The sequence below is a fragment of the Homo sapiens genome, chromosome 17 (assembly GCF_000001405.40).
Source record: "Homo sapiens chromosome 17, GRCh38.p14 Primary Assembly".
In the NCBI taxonomy this organism is placed as follows: Eukaryota; Metazoa; Chordata; class Mammalia; order Primates; family Hominidae; genus Homo; species Homo sapiens.
The window spans coordinates 62,525,447-62,550,477 of NC_000017.11; the positions used below are offsets into that span (position 1 = coordinate 62,525,447).

General features: G+C 39.3%; 1 protein-coding gene across 43 annotated transcripts in view, besides 1 other annotated feature; it reads left to right on the plus strand.

The window, feature by feature from the left end:
- The window catches only part of TLK2 (tousled like kinase 2), a 144,568-nt gene that overhangs the window by 54,533 nt on the left and 65,004 nt on the right, over positions 1 to 25,031 (plus strand). For all 43 annotated transcript variants that reach the window (XM_024450552.2, XM_024450553.2, XM_047435179.1 and 40 more), the window contains one exon: positions 10,724 to 10,891. In XM_024450552.2, the coding sequence (XP_024306320.1) occupies positions 10,724 to 10,891 (168 nt within the window). The remainder of the gene's footprint in view (positions 1 to 10,723; positions 10,892 to 25,031) is intronic.
- Positions 20,015 to 20,515: an enhancer, noted in NCBI's record as "H3K27ac hESC enhancer chr17:60622822-60623322 (GRCh37/hg19 assembly coordinates)". NCBI's record gives its function as "activates a minimal SCP1, AML or CMV promoter by ChIP-STARR-seq in naive H9 embryonic stem cells {active_cell/tissue: H9 hESC(naive)}" and the evidence as "EXISTENCE:reporter gene assay evidence [ECO:0000049][PMID:30033119]".

Consider the following 25,031-nt stretch of genomic DNA (forward strand, 5'->3'; position numbering starts at 1 on the left):
TGTAATTTTTTTTTTTTTTTTTGAGACAGTCTTGTTCTGTCACTCAGGCTAGAGTGCAGTGGTACGATCATGACTCACAGCAACCTCTGCCTCGTAGGCTCAAGTGATTCTCCCAAATCAACTTCCTGAGTAGCTCGTAGTACAGGCATGTACCACTACGCCCGGCTAATTTTTGTATTTTTTTGTAGAGGCGTGGTTTCACCATATTGCCCAGGCTGGTCTCAAACTCCTGAGATCATGTGGTCTGCCTGCCTCCACCTCCCAAAGTGTTGAGATTACAGGCATTAGCCATTGTGTCAGACCATCCTTGGCCATAGTTTAAAATGTTAGAAATGTTTGTTTGATCATAGATCCAATTTGGGCAGGTTGAGGTTTGTTAGTTAACTGTTGAAGAGGCCTGTGTCTCTGTTTTTCTTAAGTTTCAAACCAATTAAAGTCTAAAAGATATTAAATGAGATTGCAGATTATCTATTTGGGACAGATACGTTTTGTAGAATTTCTCGATGTTGTCTATCACTCTTTTCTTCCTGAAATGCCTTTTTCATTTGGTTTTTAATGGTGTGACCACCCATCTCTCATGTGTCAGTTTAGGTTGAATCTTACCTGAAGACAAAAGAGATGAACTCAATGATCTGTAGACATTTTTGCCAGCTATATGAATGTGGCTGAGCCTCATCATCATGCAAATCTGAGTATAGATGAGGTGTTAAAATAGAAACCAAAGCTTAATCCTCCACCTTTTCCTTGCCTGCCTCTAGGCAACTCAGCATGGTTGGAGGAAAACACATACACCAAGGTGACTGACTGATCTGGTCATGAGCACTGGCCTCATGTATACCTCTCACTGCCTGCCAGTCCTACTGTATTTCTACTTAGTTCCCTTTCCTCCATGAATATGTCCTATTTTTGTCATCTCCTGCAAACCTCCAGCAATTCTTCTGCTAACTGATGGCCTTCCTTTTTTATGTTACTGAGAAAATAGAAACAATCAGAAGAGCATTTCCACATGCTCCTACTGCAGATTTGCCAAGCTCCTTGCATCAGTACCCACATCCATCTGCCTTTGAGATGAATGAACTTGCTAGCCCTTCACATGGGGTCTGGTCTCCCCAATAATTATGTATCCAGCTGTCTACTTGACATTTCCACTTGTACTGCTTGAGCATGTCCAAAAAGGAACTCTTGCTTTCCCTTCCCTACCATAACAATAACATTGAACTGCTCTTCCTGTAATCTGCCTTGTCCTGGTAAATGACAGGTTACACCATCTGGTTTTTCAGGTCACAGCCTCATGCCCCAAATGTAATCCATCAGAAAATCCTGTTTTTCCTTTAAAATATATTAGAATATGACCACTTTTCTATTTTTCCAGTTCACTGCATTAGCTTTCAAAGTAGTCTCCTTGTTTTTGCCCTTGTTTCACCTAGTCTTAATGTAATAGCCCGAGTAATTGTTAAAATGTTCAGACACATCCCAGCACTCGTCTGCTCAACACTTCCTAGACTGAAGTCTTTATGTGACCTAAAAGCTCCTGCGTGATCTGTGCTTCCCATCGTCCACCTGATTCTGACATCTGCAGCCATTCTCCCTCTCCTTCATGCCACTGCAGCCACACTGGCCTCCTTGAGCTCTGTGAAAAACGCTTTTGCTATAGGGTCTTTGTACTTGTTATTCCCTCTTCCAGGAACATTCTTTTCTCAGATACCAGCAATCTCTTCATCAGGTTGTTGCTCAAAAATGACCTTAGCTAAGCGGTCTCCCTTAGCCAACTTCTCTAAAATAGCAGTCCCTCATACCTTGTCAATTTGTTCCTAACTGTACTTTATTTTAATTCTAAGTTATTGGCACTTGACACACCCATGTACATACATTTTAATATATATTTAAATTTTTTTGTTGATTCATATTTATACGTACAGAAGAGTACACATTGTAAGTCTACAGTTCGCATGAATTTTCACAAACTCTACAAGCACAAGAAATATTACCAGTGCTGCAGAAGTCCCCCTGAGTTCCCTTTCAGTTACTAACCCCCTCCCTGCCGCTGTGGCTAGCCACTAGCCTGACCTCTAACAACATAGATGAATTTTTTTTTGTATCTTGTGTAAAAGACATTCAGTGTATACTCTTGTGTCTAGCTCCTTTTGTTGCACGTTACTTTTGTGAGGTTTATCCATTTCATTGTGTATTTTATAGGTCATTTATTTTCATTGGTGTGTTATAAGTTTAATTTTCATTTAATAATTTATATATTTTAATTTTGTACTATATAATTAGTTAATTGCCCATCTTCCGACTAGATTTTTTTTTTTTGAGACGGAGTTTCGCTTTTGTTGCCCAGGCTGGAGTGCAGTGGTGCGATCTTGGTTCACCGCAACCTCCGCCTTCCAGTTTCAAGCGATTCTCCTGCCTCAGCCTCCCAAGTAGCTGGGACTACAGACACGCGCCACCACGCCCAGCTAATTTTTGTATTTTTAGTAGAGACGGGGTTTCACCATGTTGGCCAGGATGGTCTCGATCTCTTGACCTCGTGATCCGCCCGCCTCGGCCTCCCAAAGTGTTGGGATTACAGGCATGAGTCACCGTGCCCAGCCTAGAATGTTAATCTCATAAGAATGGGGATTTTGCTTTGCTTTGTTTACTGCTGTCTCTTGTTACATAAAGGTGTAATTTTTAAACTAATTTCCCCCACTTGACATGTAAGCAATAATGTCTTATTTCATTTTCAGTCTCCAGCATCCAAAACAGTGCTTGGGACACAATAGGTGTTCAAAATTGTGCTGACAGGGAAGAATAGATGGATAAAAAATTATTTTCACCTTTTTCCCTATAAAAGATTATTTTGTATTTGTGTTAAATATAAAAAATAAAGTATGTAAAACATGAAAGTTTTCATGCAGGAGTTGGCAAAAGACAGGTCACAGCTGGCAAGCTAGGAATGATTTTTATTTTTTTAAATTTATTTCATTTTAATTTATGTTATTTTTGGAGACAAAGTCTCACTGTATCCCCCAGGCTGGAGTGCAGTGGCGCAATCTTGGCTCACTGCAACCTCAGCCTCCCGGGTTCAAGCGATTCTCCTGCCTCAGCCTCCCGAGTAGCTGGGACTACAGGTGTGCACCACCACGCCTGGCTAATTTTTGTGTTTTTAGTAGACACGAGGTTTCGCCATGTTGGCCAGGCTGGCCTCTATCTCCTGACTTCAAGTAATCCACCCGCCTCAGCCTCCCAAAGTGCTGGAATTACAGGCGTGAGCAACTGCGCCTGGCAAGCTCGGAATGATTTTTAGATTTTTAAAAGGTTTTAGAAACGAAGGATATATGACAGAGACTGATGTGGCCTGCAAAACCTAAAATATTTGTCTGGTCCTTCACAAAAAAGCTCTCAGAAAATCACTATAAAGTTAACTCTATGTAATTGTTACATAGGAAGGTAGACTATTTCCAGCAGCTGGAAACCTACATGCTGTTCCCTGATCACAACTCCCACTACCCTAGAAGTGATCACTTGGCTGGTTTTTGTGGTAATCATTTTTGTTTTCGTGTAGTTTAAACTATCCATGTCTGAATCCATAAACAAAATAGTTCAGTTTTGCCAGTAGGTAAACTCAGTGTTTAAATCTTAGGTATTTTTATTTTTGGCTGTTCTATCAATTATTAAGAGCGGTGTGTATATTTGTATCTCTCGCTGTGATTGTGGAAGTTGTCTGTTTCTTCTTACATTTATATTAAATTTTGTTTTATGTATTATGACTCTCTTCATCTCTTTAAAGCTCTTTGCTTTATTTTTTAATTTTAATTTTTATTTTTGAGACAGGTTCTTGCTCTGTTGCCCAGGCTGGAGTTCAGTGCACGATCTTGGCTCACTACAACCTCCGCCTCCTGGGTTCAAGTGATTCTTGTGCCTCAGCCTCCCAAATACCTGGGATTACAGGCATGCATCACCATGCCGAGATAATCTTTTTGTATTTTTAGTTGGGTTTTCTCCATGTTGGCCAGGCTGGTCTGGAACTCCTGGTCTCAAGTGATCTGCCTGCCTTGGCCTCCCAAAGTATTGGGATTATAGGCATGAGCCCCTGAGCCTGGCTGAAGCCCTTTGCTTTAAATGTGGTTTATCTGATATTTAATATATCCAAATCATTGTGAGGTATAACTATTTCCATTCTTAATACTGTCAAATTTGCATTATGTTTTCTATCTTGGGCAAATACCATATAATTAGATTTTTTTCTCTTAAGTCTAAAATTTTTTATTATCCTATTTACATTCAATATAATTACCACCACATTCAGTTTAGATATATCATTGTTTAATGTGTTTTTTATTTATCTTGCCTGTTCTGTGTTCCTTTTTCTTTAATTTCTTGCTTCCATTTAGATTGGATTTTTTTTTTAAGTCATTTTCTGTTTTCCTCCTCTGCTAGTAGCTAGGCTGTCTTTGGTGTTTCTCTTAGAAAGTACCACATACCGCCGGGCGTGGTGGTTCACGCCTGTAATCCTAGCACTTTGGGAGACCTGGGGACCCACGTGGGAGGATTACTCGAGCTCAGGAGTTCGAGACCAGCCTAAGCAATATAGTGAGATCCCTGTCTGTACGAGGCAGGCAAATCATGAGGTCAGGAGTTCGAGACCAGCCTGGCCAATGTGGTGAAACCCTGTCTCTACTAAAAATACAAAAACTTAGCTGGGCTTGGTGGCAGGTGCCTGTAATCCCTGCCACTCAGGAGGCTGAGGCAGGAGAATCTCTTGAACCCGGGAGGCAGAGGTTGCAGTGAACCGAGATCACACCACTGCACTCTAGCCTGGGTGACAGTGCAAGACTGTCTCAGAAACAAACAAACAAACAAACAAACAAAAAACAACATTTAAAAATTAGCCAGGCATGGTGGCATGCACCTTGTAGTCCCAGCTACTCAGGTGGCTGAGGTGAGAGGATTCCTCGAGCCTAGGAGGTTGAGGCTGGAGCGAGCCATGATCACACCACTGCGCTCCATCCTGTAGCATAGAGTGAGACCCTGTCTCAAAACCCCCAGAAAAGAAAAAATAAGAATAAATTACCACATGCCAAAATTTGAAGTCAGTTGTATCTTCATCCTCTACCAAATAAAATAATGTCCCCAGAACACTGTTTACTCTGCTACTGATTTGGTGGTAGTGGTGTATGTTTTTATTTTGCCTTTTTTTGGTCTCATAAAATATTACTGTTCAGTGCTATCAGTGTTCGTTTAGGTTTATCTATGTATTTACCTCTTTGTACTTCTTTCCTTTTTGCATCCTACACCTTCCACCTGGGGTTGCTTTCCTTCTGCCTAAGTATTCCTTTAGTATTCTTCTAGAATATATCTGCTAGAGATTAACTCTCTAGGTTTTTGTTTACTGAAATAACTTTATTTTGCTCTTATTCCTGAAAGGTATTTTTGGCTGTGTATATTTTTAGGTTCGCTTTCTTTTTTTTTCTTTTAACACAATTGAGCAGTAATTCATTACCATGTTCTAACCCTCCATTGTTACTATTAAGAAATCAGCTGTCATTTGCCTGTTGTTTCTTTGAAGGTATCTGCTTTTTTTCCCCTGGCTGCTTTAAAAGTCTTTAGCTATGGTGTTCTGTAGTTTTATGATGATGTGTCATTTCATTTCTCTTGCTTGTGATTTCTTGGACTTCTGGAATTTGTGGGTTGGTATCTTTCATCCGTTCTGAATAATTAGCCATTGTCTCTTTGAATATTATCTCTGACTTGTTCTTTTTTCCTTCTCTTATGAAATTCTAATTAACCATACATTATACTTTCTAATTTTATTACCATGGCTTTTGACTTTTTTTGTATTTTTGTTCTTCTTGTCTTTATATACTCCATCATGGATAATTTCTTCTTGCCTTTCAGTTCCCAGATCCTGTTTTATTGTTTCTAATTTGCTATTAGCTCTATTGAATTGGTTACTGCCTTTTGAAGAAAAAGAATTACATTTCCTGCAGATATTTTCAAGCCTGTCTTTTATTTTTTAAAATATGGTAGACACAATTATTTTATAATCTGTTTGATAATTCTAGCATCTGAAGCTTTTATGAATCTGTTTCTGGTGTCCCTTGTTTTTCTTAGTTGTTGTTCATGGCTTTATTTCTTTTATGCTTTGTTTTTTAACTGTGTACTCCTCATTGTTCTTGAAAAATTTTTTGGGGGGTTTCTTCAAGATCTAGGATGAATGAAGATGTGTTAATTCAGGGAAAATTTTTATTTGCTCCTTCCGAGTACCTAGAGATTTTACCTCTTTTATATACCACTTTAGTGAATTTATGGCTTATATTTTGTTTAGTTTATTTTGTTTGCTTATTTCAACTGCTAGGAAATATTGATTTGGATTGTGTCAACATTTCTCAAGACAACCCCCAACTCTTACACTGCCAAGGCAACTTCCTGGCAGCCATCTGAGGGTGGGGGTAATTTTTCTTTTGGTTTACCCTTTCCTTGAGAATGTAGGTAGCTCTTTGGAGGCCCAGCTTGAAGTGGGAAGGGTTTCCTATTGAACCCTCTCCCTTGGGTGGGCTTTGGTCTGTGACTATCTGCTTGATACCATGTTGCCCTGAAAATGGAAATTCAAGATCTGCAAGTGCCCTTAGGCCATATGTGGCTTTGGTACTTCTTTTACCTGTCTTATGTTCCTAATTTCCCTTAGATTTTGCTCTGGCAGATCCCTAATACTTTATCAACTCTTCAGTGCTTTTAATGTTTTTTTGTTGTTGTTGTTGTTGTTGTTCGCCCATATTTTATCCTATCTGTATAGTTTTTTTCCCCCCCCAGGGAGACGTTGGTTCAAACAGGAAAGGCTGTAGCCTACATAGTGTATTTACAGAAATGTTTTTAAATCTTTCAATCCTTGGCAGGTATTTATTGAATATATGGCAGAAGGTTTAATTTTACTGTTGCAGCTCGTTCTCCCATGCAGTGAGAATGTTGTCATCAATGGGTATCACAGGTGTTCTGGAGCCTGGGTTTAAACTGTTACATTTGCTGGGGTAGGACTCTACTCATAGATTCAAAAACTAATTTCTTTGTCAGGATCATTTTACTTTTATTTTTTTTGACATGAAAACGTTAAAGAACTATTCCTGATTAAGGAAAATTATTTCCTTTATTCATGCAGATTATGAAAGTTCAACAATTCAGAAATGGTGAAATAGAAAGTTCCCTCCAAAAGAACTGTTATTAGAGAGTATGGTGGGCAAATATTTCTAGACTTTTTGAGATATACATGTATGTTTATATAATAGGTTTTCTTATTTCCATTGTATTAGTTTATTTAACCAGTATCTTGTAAGCATTTATATCTATAAATAGTGCTGCAATGAACATCCTTATACATACTTATTAACTTACGCATTTTTCCTAGATAAATCCCCTAATAGTAATTCCCAGGTCAGAATATGATCATTTAAAAATGTCATCACATAAATTGCTAGAAGGTTATTAGCAGTTTGAGAGTACCAATTTTTTCACACCCTGCTAATAATACTGAATTTTATCATTGTAACCTTTGGCATAAAGAAAAATACCTTGTTTTAACTTGCATTTGTTCATTAGTTATGTATATTAAACATCATATGTTTAATGGCCTTTTGGATTTCTCTTTTAATGCTTGTTCAGGTCCTTTGCATATGTCTCTTTTGAAATACTTGTGTGTTTTGGTTTTTGTTTTACTGATAGGTAAAGCATTATTTATTAAGATTTAATAAATTATTTATATTATTAATTTGTTATATTGTAAATATTTTTGCTTGTTTGTAATCTTGTCTTTTAACTTTATGTTGACTTTTACCATTCAGATGCAAAAAAATTGAAGTAGTTAAATTTATCAGTGTTTTTCCTTTATGACTTATGGGATTTGTCTTATTCTTAGATGTTCCCATATGGTGTATTCCTATACGGGGTGTGTGTGTGTGTGTGTGTGTGTCTGTGTGTGTGTGTGTAATTTTTTTTTTTTTTGAGACAGGGTCTTGCTGTGTAGCCCAGTGTGTGTGTGTCTGTGTGTGTGTGTGTAATTTTTTTTTTTTTTTGAGACAGGGTCTTGCTGTGTAGCCCAGGCTGGAGTGCAGTGGTGTGATCTTGGTTCACTGCAGCCTCTGCCTCCCGCGTTCAAGTGATTCTCATGCCTCAGCTTCCCGAGTAGCTGGGACTACAGGCATGTGCCACCATGCCCAGCTAATTTTTGTATTTTTAGTAGAGGCAGGGTTTTGCCACGTTGGCCAGGCTGGTCTCAAACTCCTGACCTCAAGTGATTTGCCCATCGCGGCCTCCCAAAGTGCTGGGATTACAGGCATGAGCCACTGTGCCCCGCCCATGGTTTATATTTTTAATGTCATGTTTAAAAAGTCCTTTACCACTAGAAAATTCTAAAAGCATTTGTTTATTTTTTCTTCTTGTAATTTTTTATATATGATAAAAGGTAGGAATCTTCTTTTCCCTTTTTTTCTAATATCTGCACAAACGTCCTACCATCTTTTTAATAAGTTCCCGCTAATATGAAATGCACATTAATCACAACTTATATATCTATATTATATAGATCTGTTTCTGAATTCTGTATTCTGTGCCACTGGTCAATCTGTCTGCTTCTGTATCTGTATGATACTGTTTTAGTTAATGTAACATTGTAGTATGTTTCACTATCCGGTCAAGTTTCCCTGATACTTTTTCTCAAAAATTATGTGGCTGATTATGATTATTTTTTTAAGTGAACCTTAGAATTTATTGTGAAATTCTACAAAAACAACTGCCCAAGAAAGCATGAGAGAGAACCTAGATGACCACTATACCACCATAAGACTACCCCTTGGAAGAGAAAAAGGCCAAACACAAAATTTAAAACATTAAACTTGGGTTTTAGAGAAATTTGATGTTTGTAGAATCTGAACCCAGGAACATGATATTACCGTTTAACTTAGATCATCTTTTATATTCATCTGTGAAGCTGTATAGTTTTTCTTCAAAGGTGTTCTGCATGTTTCTTAAGTTTGCTTTCAAGTATTTTACAGATTTTTGTTTGCTACTTTGAATCTGCTTTTCCTTCTGTTACATGCTCTGATTAAAATCAGTTGGGGAAGCTATCAATTTTAGTGTATTTATTTTGTATTTGGCCATCTTACTGAGCTCCTTTTAATTGTTATAGTAATTTTTCCATTGATTTGCTTGGTTTCCTTTGTGAATGGTTATATCATCCAAAAATGACACTAAAAATCTTTAATTTCTAATATTTTTACTTCATTTTTTTCTTTTTTACATTGGCTAAAACTTTCATAATAACGTTTAATATGAGAATGTGTTACTTTTGTCTTGTTTTCTAGCTTTAATTGAAAGGGTCTCCAGTCTTAGCACCATTAATTATGATATTTTAATTTTTGAAAAACATACTCTTCATTGCATTAAAAGTGGATAATTCCAGTCTTTTTTTTTTTTTTTTTTTTTTTTGGAGATAGAGTCGCTCTCTGTTACCCAGGCTGGAGTGCAGTGGCGCAATCTGGGCTCACTGCAACTTCCGCCTCCTGGGTTTAAGCAATTCTTCTGCCTTAGCCTCCCGAGTATCTTGGATTACAGGTGCCCACGACCACGCCTGGATAATTTTTGTATTTTTAATAGAGATGGGTTTCACCACGTTGGCCAGGCTGGTCTTGAACTCCTGACTTCAAGTGATCCGCCTGCCTTGGCCTCCCAAAGTACTGGGATTACAGGCATGAGCCATTGTGCCTTGCCAATTCCAGTCTTTTAAGAGTTGCCTAACAGTGTGTGTATCCTTTTTGGTATCCAACAGGAAGAATCTTAATTTATCCCTCCCTAAAGTTAATGTAATGAATTACATTAGTAGATTTGCTAATGTTGAATCATTTTTAGGTTTCTGGAGTGAGTTATGCGTAATTGTGATGTATTATCCTTTTAGTATACTGTGGAACTTGTTTTGCTTGCATTTATTTTAGATTTTTGCATCTAAATATAGTACAGCAAGAACAGAATTGAGAGTGAAATAAGCTTCACCTATAAAGTCACGTGACAGGCCAGGCACGGTGGCTCATGCCTGTAATCCCAGCACTTTGGGAGGCTGAGGCGGGCAGATCACCTGAGGTCAGGAGTTCGAGACCAGCCTGGCCAACATGGTGAAACCCCGTCTCTACTAAAAATACAAAAAAATTAGCCAGGCGTGGTGGCAGGCACCTGTAATCCCAGCTACTTGGGAGGCTGAGACAGGAGAATCGCTTGAACCCAGGAGACAGAGGTTGCATGCAGTGAGAGCAGAGACTCTCCATTGCACTCCAGCCTGGGCAACAAGAATGAAACTCCATCTCAAAAAAAAAAGAAAAAAGAAAAAAGAAAAAAAAGTCATGGGACAATGTCTTAATTTTCATTTACCTACAGGATAGAAATAATATTTCCTGTGTAGGGTTGAGGGCATTATGAAGTTGATTTGTAGAATTCTACAAAGTAACATGTAAATTCAGACTCTCATAAATATAGAACCATTAAAATATAATGTCAAAGAATTTGAGTAAGATAGTCACATTTTTAGATAGGTTATAATACAATGATAATGTTGGTATGCTCTCCATAATTATTTTTAGAGAGGCCTTTTTAAATAAACCATTCATCTTATATTTGATAACTGTTTTTAACCCGTTGCATGTTTGGGCAGTATCAGATTATCTTTCTCATGTCATTTGTGTGTTTCTTTACTGTTTTCCAGCGACGAGTAGAACAGCCCCTCTATGGTTTAGATGGCAGTGCTGCAAAGGAGGCAACGGAGGAGCAGTCTGCTCTGCCAACCCTCATGTCAGTGATGCTAGCAAAACCTCGGCTTGACACAGAGCAGCTGGCGCAAAGGGGAGCTGGCCTCTGCTTCACTTTTGTTTCAGTGAGTACAAAGCCTAAGTTAATTCATATCCTTTCCATTGCCCTAGTGCTCCTTGATGAGGTTGGATTAATTATTTTGATAGAGAGATAGGGACATTTCTAATACTTTTTTTTAAAATGTGATCTCCCCTTATCATCATTCCCAAACATGTCTAATTCTACATCACTTCTAAATATATTGTGTTTTTCCCAGTCTCCCTTGGTTCAAGCTCCTGAGGGAGACTGCTTTGTCAAAGCCTGAACCCACAATGGGAAGGAAGGAAAGCATAATCTTAGATTGACAAAGAAGAAAATACAGATCAAATTCCATTAGTAACCAAGATATAATTAAAAATAGAGTCTCCGAGTTCCAGCCATCATCTATGTAAGTTAATACTCAAGTCAGTACAGTTTTAGTATGTAGGCAGGCATTCTCACAGCAAGTTACTGGTCATTTACCCCGTGTAGTATTTGGGCTATGTACACACTTGCTTTCTCACCCCTTCAGAGTGTTGGTACACTTAACCTTTCTCAGGAATATTTGGCTACCTGTTCGCTCCTTTCAGCTTACTTCTTTCTCTATCTTTGAAGAACAAGAATTTGAGTATTATGAAAGTTTGACCTCATTTCATAAGGCGCTATGAGTGCAATTTGAACCAAATGTTACTTTTCCTGGTTTTTGGGCCCTGCCAGGTCACCTGTTTGTTGCCAAGGGTGCCAGAGTAACAGAAAGCCCCGTCGCCGTATTCCTATTCCACTTTCAGGGGCATCTTTCACAACTAAGTCACCACTCATCCAGATTTTGTCCCTCTTACTGGTTCATTTTGTCCAGTTATAATTTAAGTTTCCTGTTTATTTATCCTGTGGTGTCTATAAGTCTCCAATCCACACTCCACCAACTGTGTTCAAAAAGGTGCTGAAAATGGTGGTTGTCTTAAGGAAAGGAAATAGAAATAATAAAACAGTTAACCAGATAGGAAACTATTGTGCATGATATGGAATGTTTTCTTATAGTTATGATAGCTTTACCTTAAGAAAGAGATACAACGCTCCTTGAATAACGTCATTTCATTCAACATGGTTTCGTGATAGTGTTAATTAGACACTGTGAGCTGACGCCACTGTCTGTGTGGAGTTTGCGTGTTTTCTCCATGTCTGTGTGGGTTTTCTTAGGGCACTCTGGTTTCCTCCTGTATCCCAGAGATGTGTGCATTAGGTTCACTGGTGTGTCTACGGAGTCCCAGTCTGAGTGAGTGTAGGTGTGTGTGTGCAACAGAATGGCTTCCTGTCCAGGTCTGGTTTCTGCTTGCACCCTGAGCTGCCTGGGATAGGCTCTGGCTTTTCACCACTCTGTACTGGAATAAACAGATAAATCATTATCTTACTTGTTTTTATTAATCTTACTTAAATGTATGTAGAGCTCACTTTTATTTCAGTGTTTAATGTTAGAAGTGTTTTGATCTTTAATCATCAAAGGAATGGGGAAACTTCTTGTGTGAAGACAGTATATCCTATCCCCAGGTAACAAAGGAAATATACATACTTTAAAAATGGGAGAATTGACCTATATAATATTGTGAGAGGGACTGACAGCAGTATGGAATAGTTCCTTTGAGAATGCAGTATGCTATAGTATTGTTCTAAAGAATGTATGTGTGTCATTCACACATTTCGAGATTGTTAATGTTTATCATACACTTACTTTTGTTAAATCTTTGTTTTTTTTTTTTTTTTTTTTGAGATGGAGTCTGGTTCTGTCGCCCAGTCTGGAGTGCAGTGGCCTGATCTTGGCTCACTGCAAGCTCTGCCTCTCGGGTTCACGCCATTCTCCTGCCTCAGCCTCCCGAGTAGCTGGGACTACAGGCACCCGCCACCACGCCTGGCTAATTTTTTGTATTTTTATTAGAGATGGGGTTTCACCATGTTAGCCAGGATGGTCTCGATCTCCTGACCTCGTGATCCGCCCGCCTCAGCCTCCCAAAGTGCTGGGATTACAGGCATGAGCCACCGCGCCTGGCCTTTGTTAAATCTTTATCTTGGATCTTACTTTTCCAGAAAAAACCTTGGATAATTAGGGAGTTATTTGTCTTTTGGTCATTTTTAAGGCATTAAAATGACCTCTTTTTCACTTGAGAGGAATTCTGTTTGTTTACTCCACAAATACGTACTGAGTGCCCACTGTGTAATGAGCATAGTTAAATACACAAGATTTGGTCAGCAAGAACTTGTTCCCCTTTCCATCTTCTGTAAAAAGTATGGTATGTAGGCTTGTGGTGGATGCACGTGAAGGACCACCTACTTAGTCCTATCAGCTGACGCACTCCGTTATCAGAGGAGTAGCAGATGCTATAGCCGTGTTGTTCTCATGTGGAAAGAGGTGGCAGAGACTAGTAACAAAATGATCATGTATGAAGAAGGAACATGGAAACAGTATGAAAACCAAAAGTCTAAATGCTCTGGTACAGTTTTGTTTCTCTTTGCTTCTCAGCAGTACCAGCCAGCATATAAGCTTAGTAGTATAAGGAAAGAAAATAGTAAAAGGGTTAGTATTAATATACAAGTGTAAATCAGCAAAGGAAAGCAGATTCTTAGAAAAGTAGGCAAAGACTGTTTTTGAAAAGAAGGCAAGTGGCTAATAACATGAAATAATGCTCAATTTTGGCCATAGAGAAGTGCAAAATAAAACAAGATAACATTTTTGACCTAGCAAATTGGCAAGGATTAATAAGTTTGATAGTTCTTGGTGTAGGTGATAGTTTAGAGATATATTCAGTTTTATTCTGTCTATAAATTGTTGAAGTCATGTGGACAACTTGGTAATGTATCTCAATGTTAAGTTTACATATCCTTGGGTCCAGAAATTCCATTCCCATAAAATTACACAAAGATATTTATTGAGGTATTGTTTATTGTTGCAAAAAATCTGGAAGCAGTTTCCCTTCCAGTATTTCAGAGGATATGACCTTCGCATCAGACCTCATCTGACGTAATTCATTAGCAACTATTGATCACTTCTTTCTTCTCTAAGCATACGGTCTTTCACTCGGCTTCCACTCTTGATTTTTCCTCACATTCTCTATCTCTGAACATTAGAGTGTTCCAGGGCTCTGTCTTCAGACTCATTTATCTACCTTCATTTTCTTCTTAACCTCCCTCTCTTTTTTTTTTTTTTTTTTTCAATTGAGACAGGGTCTCACTCTGTTGCCCAGGCTGGAGTGCAGTGGTGCAATCTCAGCTCACTCCAACCTCCATCTCCTGGGCTCAAGCGATTTCCCCACCTCAGCCTCCCAAGTAGCTGGGAGTACAGGCGTTGGCTACCACGCCTGGCTGATTTTTGTTTTTAGTAGAGACAGAGTATTGCCATGTTGGCCAGGCAACATGGTCAACTCCTGACCTCTATGGTCTCAAACTCCTGACCTCAAGTGATCCTCCCGCCTCGGCCTCCCCAAAGTTCTGGGATTACAGACGGGAGCCACCACACCCAGCCTTCTTAATCTCATCTAGTTCCTTTGTTACTAAAATTTAACTCCTATGTGCAGAGGACTTCCAAGTTTATGCGTCTAGCCAGGGCTCTGCCCTGAATTTCAGGCCTGTGTCAGTTGCCTCCAGTCATTTCCTTTCTATGTCTAACAAACATGTCAAATGTAACATGTTCAAAACTGAACTCTTCCTTCTGTTCCCCACCCGAAACCCATTTCTCCTACAGCTGCCTTTCTCCTCCTCCTCCTCCTCCTCTTCCTCTTCTTCTTTCTCCTTTCTTCTTTCTTCTTCTTTCTTTCTTTTCTTTTTTTTTTTTTTTTTTAATAGAGACAGAGTATTAGTGTGTTACCTAGGCTGTTCTTGAACACCTGAACTCAAGTAATCCTCCCAGTTTGGCCTCCCAAAGTGCTGGGATTTTAGGTGTGGGCCACCGTGCCTGACTTCCACAGCCTTCTACATCTCAATAACTGTCAACTTTTCTCCTTCTAATTGTTACAGCTAAAATCCTTGGAGTCATTCTTGTCTTTCTCTTCTTTTTATATTATATGCCAAATCCAAATCTATCAGTAAAGCTTATTGATTTTACCTTCAAAATATGTTCAGAATTTTTTTTTTTTTTTTTTTTTTTGAGACAGAGTCTTGCGTTGTTACCCAGGCTGGAGTGCAATCTGGGCTCACTGCAACTTCCACCTCCCAGGTTCAAGCCGGTTCTCCTGCCTCAGCCTCCCAAGTAACTGGGATTACAGGCGCGTACCACCATACCCAGCTGATTTTTGTATTTTTAGTAGAGATAGGGTTTCACCATGTTGGCCAGGCTGGTCTTGAACTCCTAACCTCAGGTGATCCACCCGCCTTGGCCTCCCAAAGTGCTGGGATTACAGGCATGAGCCACTGCATCTGGCCTGTGTTCAGAATTTTACCACTTCTAATTCTCTTCACTACTGCCACTCCAACTTAAACCATTGTCTCCCACTGAGATAACTGGACCCATTGCTTTGATCTTTGTTTTCTTTTAATCTGTTCTTAACAAAGCAGAGTGATTGTGTTGAAACGTAAGTCCAGTCATGCCACTCCCCTGTCGAAAAGTCCTTAAAGTGGCCCTGCATGGTTTGTTTTCCTCCACCCTGACATGTTTTACTACCATCTACCTTTCTCATCAGATTCCATGCACGCTAGCCACCTTGTTTTCTCAAATACTCTCTCTCAGTGATGCTCTCACCTCGGGGCCTTTGCGTTGGCTGTTGCCTTTGCCCTAACATTCTTCACCCATATATCATCATGCCCTGCTCTCTCAGTTCCCTCTGGTTTCTGCTTATATTTACCCTATTAGAGAGGCCTACCCTGGCCACACTATAAAATAGCAACTTCTCCCCACCCATCCCACCTGTTACTGAGCTCCTAGGCCCTGCGTTGTTTTTCTCCTTAGTCTACACCAGCTGACGTACTATGATGGACTTTTGTCTGACTTCCCCCCACTGGAATGTAAGCTCCATCAGGTCAAGGACTTTGCTTTGTTCACTTGTGTATCTCTAATGCCCAGAACGGGACCTGCTCTAATAGGCACTCAGTGTAATTATATGTTGCATGAGTTAGTAAAAGCATTCTTTATAGAAGGACTGGTTAAATGAATCGTAATATATTTGTACAGTGGAATGCTATACAGCTGGCAAAAGAAGTGAGGTAGCTGTATATACACCAATGAAAGATTTCTAAATATGTGTTGATAAAAATAGCAGGTGGCAGAATATTAAGAATTTGATCTTTTAAATGTTTAAAATTATTACATAATTCTATGTTTTAACATAGGAAATTTGAGGTTTTATTTTTAAGAGAGAGGTCTCGCTATGTTGCCCAGGCTGGGGTACGGTGGCTATTTACAGGTGCAATCATAGCATTATAGCATACTATAGCCTTGGAACTTCTGGGTTCAAGCAATTCTCTTGCCTCAGTTTCCAGAGTAGCTGCAACTAGAGTGCACCACAGTAGCTGCAGCTAGAGATTGCACCACTGCACTCCAGCCTGGGTGACAAAGTGAGACTCAGTCTCAAAGAAAAAAAAAAATTAGTATTTGGACTCACAGTCTAGTGCTCATTCTGTACCACCACACTAGCTCCCAGTATGAAGACTATCTGTTTGTACAAAGACAATATATATCAGGCTAGAGAATAAGATATCTGAGCTGACCTCTCACTTTTAACTTTATGGCATTACAACATACATAAAGATCCAGTAAGAAGGGAGATGTAGAGGGATTAGAAAAAGGTCATTTCCTCTTCTATTGGTGAGAATGTTGTCAGGGAAAATCATAAGCAAATAGTTTCCTAAATTATGAAAATAGAACATGCACATGACCCGCAAGAAATTGAGGAGATGGAGAAGCGTAAAATTCTTCCCTTGGATTTCTCAGAGAGATAACTACTGTTAACAGTTTGTGTTTTGGATTTTCTAAGGATTACCATTTTAATGTCAAATAATGTGTTCCTTATTTAATCTTATTTATTTATTGGTGGAGACAGGGTCCCACTGTGTTGCCTAGGCTGGTCTTGAACCATCCTCCTACCTTGGCCTCTCAAAGTGTGGGGATTAGAGGCTTGAGCCACTGTACCTGGCCTTATTTAATCAACTTTAAGTAAGATCTGTTTACTCCTCGTTATGAAAGACAAATTTAACATAACTTTCACCCAGTCTTTCTTTCTTTTTCAGTTGTTTAGTTATTGTTACAGTATGAGTGTTTGATATTTAGTTTGTTATTTTAACTACAATTGAGTCTTTTCTGCTTTGTAAATTATTCTAAGACTTGAAAAGAAGGAACATTTACAATATTATGATTGTTTCATTGTTTGGCATTGCAAAACCAAATGATTTTATTGGACTCACTGAAAAGAAGAGAGACATTGAATTAGTTTAGATTGAAACAGTTCTGGTTGTCAAGGTCTACTGGATCTTTTTTTCCCTTAATGGCAAGTCTGTTGTTTCCTTAAAACTTGTGTCTTTTAACATTATGCAGATGTTCTTCAAAACTTGATTTTTTAAAAAGGTAGTTTGCTTTTTTTATGCCAAAGTATTTTAAAATACAATTCAGAAATCTTGACCTCCTATCTCTAAATAGTTAAATAGGCATTTTTAAAAAACATGTTAACATTTTGCTAGATAGCGAAATTAGCATTATAACATGTCTATTAGCATCTATAAAATAGAACTTTCTTATCATCTGTGCCTGTTGCTCTACACTGACATACATTTCTAGAAAGACAGGCTAAATGCTTAGTTCTTTCCTTTTAATTACTAATGAGGCTTTTAAATTTTTTTTTAACTTTTAAAGTAGGGAGTTGTTTGATAGCTGTGACAAATAGCTTTCTCTTTGATTATCATGGCTTCATGGATTTTCATGGGTGTACATCAGTAAATAGAATCGTTCTTTTTTGGTGCCAGTTGGTCACGGCTTTATCCTTTTACCAGTCGATGGACATTTAGGTTGTTTCCACTTCTTGGCTATTATGAATGATGTTGCTATGAACATTCATGTATAAGACTTTGTGTAGACATACGTTTTCGTTTCTTTTGGATATATGCTGGAGAGTGAAATTGCCAGGTCATATGGTAACTGTTTTTGAGGAACTGCCAGACTCTTCCACAGCAGCTGCACCATTTTACATTCCCCGCAGCAGTACATTCCAATTTCTCCATGTCCTTGCCAGTACTTGCTATTGTCTCTCTTTTTCATTATAGCCATCCTAGTGGGTGTTAAGTGGCATCTCATTGTGGTTTTGATTTGCATTCCCCAAAAAACTGGTGATGTTGAGCATTTTTTCATTTGCTAATTGGGCTTTTGTGCATCTTCTTTGGAGAGATCACTATTCAAATCCTTTACCCATTTTTAAATTGTGTTGCCTTTATTGTTAAGTTCTAAGCATTCTTTATATATTCTGAATATTAGATCTTTGTCAACTATATGATTGGCAAAGGTTTTCTATTCTGTGGGTGGTCAGTTTACTTCTTGACGGTGTCCTGTGAAGTACAGAAGTTTTTAATTTTGAGAAAAGTTCAATTTATCTGTTTTTTTTCTTTTGTTGCTTATGCTTTTAGTGTTGTAGCCAAGGCTTCACCTAACCTAAAGTCAAGAAAATTTACTCTTATATTTTCTTCTATGTGTTCTATACTTTTAGCTCTTATATTTAGGTCTTTTTTCCATCTTGTGTTAATTTTTGTGTGTGGTATGAGGAAGGAGTTCCAACTTCATTTTTTTTGCATGTGTATATCCTATTGTCCCAGCACCATTTGTTGAAAATACTGTGCTTTTACCATTGAACTGTCGGCACCGTTTTCAAAAATGAACTGACTTACAGCAAGAGGTTTATTTATGGACTCTAAATCTGCTCCATCTATATCTTTGTTATATTAGCCCATTCTCACACTGCTACAAAGAACTACCTGAGACTGGGTAATTTATGAAGAAAAGAGGTTTAATTAACTCATAGTTCTGCAGGCTTAACAGGAAGCATGACTGGGAGGCCTCAGGAAGCTTACAGTCATGGGAGAAGGTGAAGGAGAAGCAAGCACCTTCTTCTCAGGAAAGAGAATGAGAGAGTGAAGGGGAAAGTGCCATGCACTTTTAAACCATCAGATCTCGTGAGAACTCACTCACTATCATGAGAACAGCAAGGGGGAAATATGCCCTCGTGATCCAATCAGCTCCCACCAGACCCTTCCCCTGACATATGAGGAGTACAATTCAACATGAGATTTGGGTGGGGACACAGAAAAAACCATACCACCTGTCTTTATGCCAGGACCACACTGTCTGAATAACTGTAGCTTTGTAATAAGTCTTGAAATTGGGAAGTGCAAGCCTTCCAACTTTGTTGGGTTTCAAGATTGTATTGGCTGTTTGGGATCTGTTGCATTTCCCTGTGATTTTTAAGATCATCCTTTCAGTTTCTATAAATAAACCAGATAGGATTTGATAGCAATTGTGTTGAATCCGTAGATCAATTTGAGAAGTATTGCCTTTTTAACAGTATTAAGTCTTTCAATCCATGAACACAAAATATCTATTTAGGACCCTTTGATTTCTTTCAACAATGTTTTGCAACTTGCAATATATAGTCCTATATTTCTTTTGTTAAAATTATTCCTAAGTATTTATTCTTTTTACGCTATTGCAAATGGAATAGTTTTCTTAGTTTTATTTTCAGATTGCTCATTGCTAGAGTATAGAAATACAATTGATTTTTGTATGTTGATCTGTCATGATGGAGTCTTGCTCTTTTGCCTAGGCTGTAGTGCAGTGGTGCGATCTCAGCTCACTGCAACCTCCGCCTCCCGGGTTCAAGCGATTCTCCTGCCTCAGCCTCCCGAGTAGCTGGGATTATAGGTGCCTGCCACTATGCCCAACTAATTTTTTTGTATTTTTAGTAGAGATGGTTTCACCATGTTGACCAGGCTGGTCTCGAACTCCTGATCTTGTGATTCACTCACCTCAGCTTCCTAAAGTGCTGGGATTGTTTTAAAGGTTTAAGCAAGTTTTAAAACGTTAATTGTAAAGAAAATTCTGTGTGTAAACATATTAGCTAAAGTTAAAAAGGTATCATCCAGTTTTTCTGGGACATCCTTGTCTTTCTTGTTCATGATTTTTAAGGGAAAATATGAGGTCTTTAAAAATAAATATTACATTAGCCAGGCATGGTGGTGTGCACCTGTAATCCCAGTTATTTGGGAGGCTGAGGCAGGGGAATTGCTTGAACCCAGGAGACGGAGGTTGCAGTGAGCTGAGATTGTGCCATTGCGCTCCAGCCTGGATGACAGAACGAGAGACTGTCTCAAAAAAAAGAGAAAAAGTATCATGTTTACTGTATGTTTTTCAGAGGTGGTCATTTTTTAGGTTAACAAAGTTCCTCTTGTTGTTGTTGTTGTTGTTGTTTAAAGACAGGGTCTCATTTTGTCACCCAGGCTGTTGGAGTGCAGTGGCCTAATTGTGGCTCACTACAGCCTCAACTGCTTGGGCTCAAGCCATCCTCCCACCTCAGCCTCCCCAAATAGCTGGGACTACAGGTGTGTGCCACCACGCCCGGCTGATTTTTTGTTTGTTTGTTTGTTTGTTTGTTGAGCAAAGTCTTCCTTTGCCACTGAGGCTGGAGTGCAGTGGCATGGATGTCAGTTCAGTGCAACCTCTGCTTCCCAGATTCAAGCAATTCTCCTGCCTCAGCCTTCTGAGTAGCTAGGATTACAGGCTCACACCACTGTGCCTGGCTAATTTTTGTATCTTTAGTAGAGACAGAGTTTCACCATGTTGGCCAGGCTGGTCTTGAACTCCTGACCTCAAGTGATCTGCCCGCCTTGGCCTCCCAGAATGCTGGGATTACAGTCATGAGCCACCACACCATGTCCTAATTTCTTTTGTAGAGACAGGGTTTTGCTATGTTGGCCAGGGTGGTCTGGAACTCCTGAGCTCAAGCTATCAGCTCGCTTTGGCTTCCCAAAGTACTGCGATTATAGGCGTGAGCCACTGCACCCGGCTGAGAAAGTTCCCTATTTTGAGTTTGTTGATTGTTTTTTTTTTTTTTTTACATAATGAAAAGGGTTTTTTATTTCAGAGAAATTTTGTTTTACTGTTTCTTTGATTATTTCATTTCCTCTGTTCTTTTCTCTAGAAAGCCATTAGATAGTTTCAGGGTCTCTGTGCTATTCATGTTTCTTTTCTTTTGTGCTCCATTTAACCTTTTGTTTTATCTTCTGGGAGATTTTCTTATTTTCTTTTTCTTTCTTTTTTTTTTTTTTTGAGACTGAGTCTCACCATGTCACCCAGGCTGGAGTGCGGTGGCGTGATCTTGGCTCACTGCAACCTCTGCCACCCAGGTTCAAGCGATTCTTCTGCCTCAGCCTCCCGAGTAATTGGGACTATAGGCACATACCACCACACCCAGCTAATTTTTAAAAATATTTTTAGTAGAGACGGGGTTTCACCATGTTGGCCAGGCTGGTCTCGAACTCCTGACCTCAGGTGATCCACCTGTCTCGGCCTCCCAAAGTGCTGGGATTACAGGCATGAGACACCGCACCCGGCCTCTTCTGGGAGATTTTCTTGACATTGTCTTTTAGGTTACTGGCTGTGTATTCAGCTGTGTCCATTTTGATATTTAACCCACCTATTAAATTTTTAAACTTTGATAATCTTATTTTGTCAATTTGATTATTCATGTTCTTTACTTTTTTAATTTTTGTAGCTACAGTATACTTTTGATCCTCTCTGAACCTATTTTATTTTTTTCATCTTAAGAACCTTTAATACAGTTATCTAAATGCAGAGTTTCAGTTTATGAAATGAACCAAAGCAGTTTGTCATTTCATACTATAAACTATTGAAAATCAAGTGCTAAACTGATACTTTACTTTTAAAGTTGTTTATTGAATTATCTTTTAACTCTTATGATTAGGTATTGTTTTTTCGTCTTGGATTTTTCCTTTTGTGCTGTTGGGGTTGTCTTGAAAATGTATTTAGCTTAGTGGAATGAGGGATTAGAGTGATTAGGTGTTGGCATGGATTTTTTTTTTTTTTCTTTTTGGTAACATAGTCTCTTTGTTTTCCAGTTTGGCATTTCTAGATTTTAACACAGGACCAGGCACAGAGGGTCACATTTAATGTTGAATGAATGATCAGTTACAGCATTTTTTTCTCTAACGGATCTGAGCATTGTCACATGAGATCCCTATATTGTGTAGTACCTTTTACCTTTTGAAAACATTGTTTTCATTTTCATGAGGATTTTCTGCTTCCCAACTGAGGAATTTCCTAACTGCCAACGTCCTCAGTTAACTTTTGCATTTTTACTTATCAATGAGCTATTTATATGTGTATTTTTACAGAAAGCTTTAATTTGGAAACATCTAACACCCTTAGTTTGCTGGAAGACAACTTAGAGTCAGAAATAAGCATATTTAAACCCATATACCATATATCAAGAAATCTGTAAAGGGCCTTTGGATCCCTCTTCTATGGGATCTGGCAACACAGAGCCATTCCTACAACTCCCAAAAGCAGATCTCTATCCAGCACAGACAGACCCGGGTAGGCTGATGATCAATAACCAATGGAGGGGTGTATTTGCTGCATAGGAATAAATGGTAACCTTAGATAGTCTATGATTCCCCTTTGTCTTCTCTATTTCTCTGTTGGTATCTGATTGTTTGTATTATATTCAGAACTTGCATTATGGGTAATTAAAGTCCTTTGGAATGTGCTTTAAGTTTTTGAGGCTTTTCTTTACCCTTCTAGTGTATTGGAGCAGAAATGCTTATACTGCAGCATGGTGTTAAGGAAAGTGCGCACACTGTTTTTTGTTTACGGTATTCCACGGAAGTTAAGTGCTCACACTTTGAACTTCCTAACTGCCTACTTCCTCAGTTTACTTTTGCATTTTACTTATCATTGGGCCATATATATATATATGTGTGTGTGTGTGTGTGTGTGTGTGTGTGTGTGTCTTTTTTATTTTTATTTTTTTTTTGAGCTGGAGTCTCACTCTGTCACCCAGGCTGGAGTGCAGTGGTACGATCTCGACTCACTGCATCCTCTGCCTCCCAGGTTCAAGCGATTCTCCTGCCTCAGCCTCCCAAGTAGCTGGGACTACAGGCACGCACCACCACACCTGGCTAATTTTTTATATTTTTAGTAGAGACGAGGTTTCACCATATTGGCCAGGCTGGTCTTGAACTCCTGACCTCATGATCTGCCTGTCTTGGCCTCCCAAAGTGACAGGATTACAGGCATGAGCCACTGCACCCGGCCCTATGTGAGCTTTAATTTAGAAATATCTCACTACATCACTTTCTAACACCCTCAGTTTGCTGGAAGAAAACTTAGAATCAGATATAAGCATATTTAAACCAATATACCATATATCTAGAAATCTGTAGAAGTGTCTTTTAATCATTTGATTCTTTTTTTTATTTTTTATTTTTTGAGACAGAGTCTTGATGTGTCGCCCAGGCTGGAGTGCGGTGGCATGATCTCGGCTCACTGCAACCTCCACCTCCTGGGTTAAAGCAGTTCTCCTGCCTCAGCCTCCTGAGTAGCTGGGATTATAGGCACCCGCCCCCACGCCCAGATTATTTTTTTTTGTATGTTTAGTAGAGACAGGGTTTCACCATGTTGGCCAGGCTGGTCTTGAACTCCTGACCTCATGATCCACCCACCTCAGCCTCCCAAAGTGCTGGGATTACAGGTGTGAGCCACTGCACCCAGTCTAATCATTTGATTCTTATTGGCTCTTATTATAAATATAGTTCAGACAGTCATTTGTATAGAAACACATTGTAGGGCCGGGCGCGGTGGCTCACACCTGTAATCCCAGCACTTTGGGAGGCCGAGGTGGGGGGATCATGAGGTCAGGAGATCGAAACCATCCTGGCTAACCTGGTGAAAACACCGTCTGTACTAAAAAAAAAATACAAAAAATTACCCGGGAGTGGTGGCGGGTGCCTGTAGTCCCAGCTACTCGGGAGGCTGAGTCAGGAGAACGGCGTGAACCTGGGAGGCAGAGCTTGCAGTGAGACGAGATCGTGCCACTACACTCCAGCCTAAGTGACAGAGCAAGACTCCATCTCAAAAAAAAAAAAAAAAAAAAAAAAAAAAAAAAAAAAAAATAGAAACACATTGTAAAAGGAGAGGATTGTAAAAGCAATCAAATGATAACTGAAGGAAATCTTCAGTTATACAAATGCTTGTATCCTAGTGCATTATAATACTTGAGGTTCATAATGATGACCCTTAATTAGTAAGGAAAGATTGGATTTGCTGCATCCTAGAGTAGAGAACATATTTAGTTATTTGGAATTATATAGACTTGGTGCTCCCCCCCAAGACCCCCACCGCAAGACGGAGTCTTGCTCTGTCACCCAGGCTAGAGTGCAGTGGTGTGATCTCAGCTCATCGCAACCTCCACCTCCCGGGCTCAAGCAATTCTCATGCCCCAGCCTCCTGAGTAGCTGGGATTACAGGCGCCCACCACCACGCCTGGCTAATTTTTTTTGTTTTGTATTGTTTTTTTTTTTTTTTAGTAGAGATGAGATTTCACCATGTTGGCCAGGCTGGTCTTCAACTTCTGATCTTAGCTGATCCACCTGCCTCAGCCTCCCAAAGTGCTGGGATTATACGCCTGAGCCACCGCACCCAGCCTCAAATCATAAACTTTTTTTTGTTTTTTGAGACGAAGTCTCACTCTGTTGCCCAGGCTGGAGTGAAGTGACACAATCTTGGCTCACTGCAAGCTCCGCCTCCCAGGTTCAAGCGATTCTCCTGCCTCAGCCTCCCCAGTAGCTGGGATTACAGGTGTGCGCCACTGCGCCTGGCTAATTTTTTGTATTTCCAGTAGAGATGGGGTTTCACCATGTTGGCCAGGCTGGTCTTGAATTCCTGACCTCAGGTCATCCACCCACCTCGGCCTCCCAAAGTGCTGGGATTACAGACATGAGCCACTGTGCTCAGCCTCAAATCATAAACTTTTTAAAGGTTTATCCCTGACCCTCTAAATTAGGTTATGTGCCTTGTTATATGCTCTTTTAGCACTTATCCTAATTGTGATTGTGTATTTATTATATGATTGTTTATTCAACAGTTTCTTTCAACAAATATTTACCAAGTGTTTAGTAAATCTTGTTTTGGATTGTAAGCTTCATTAAGGCAG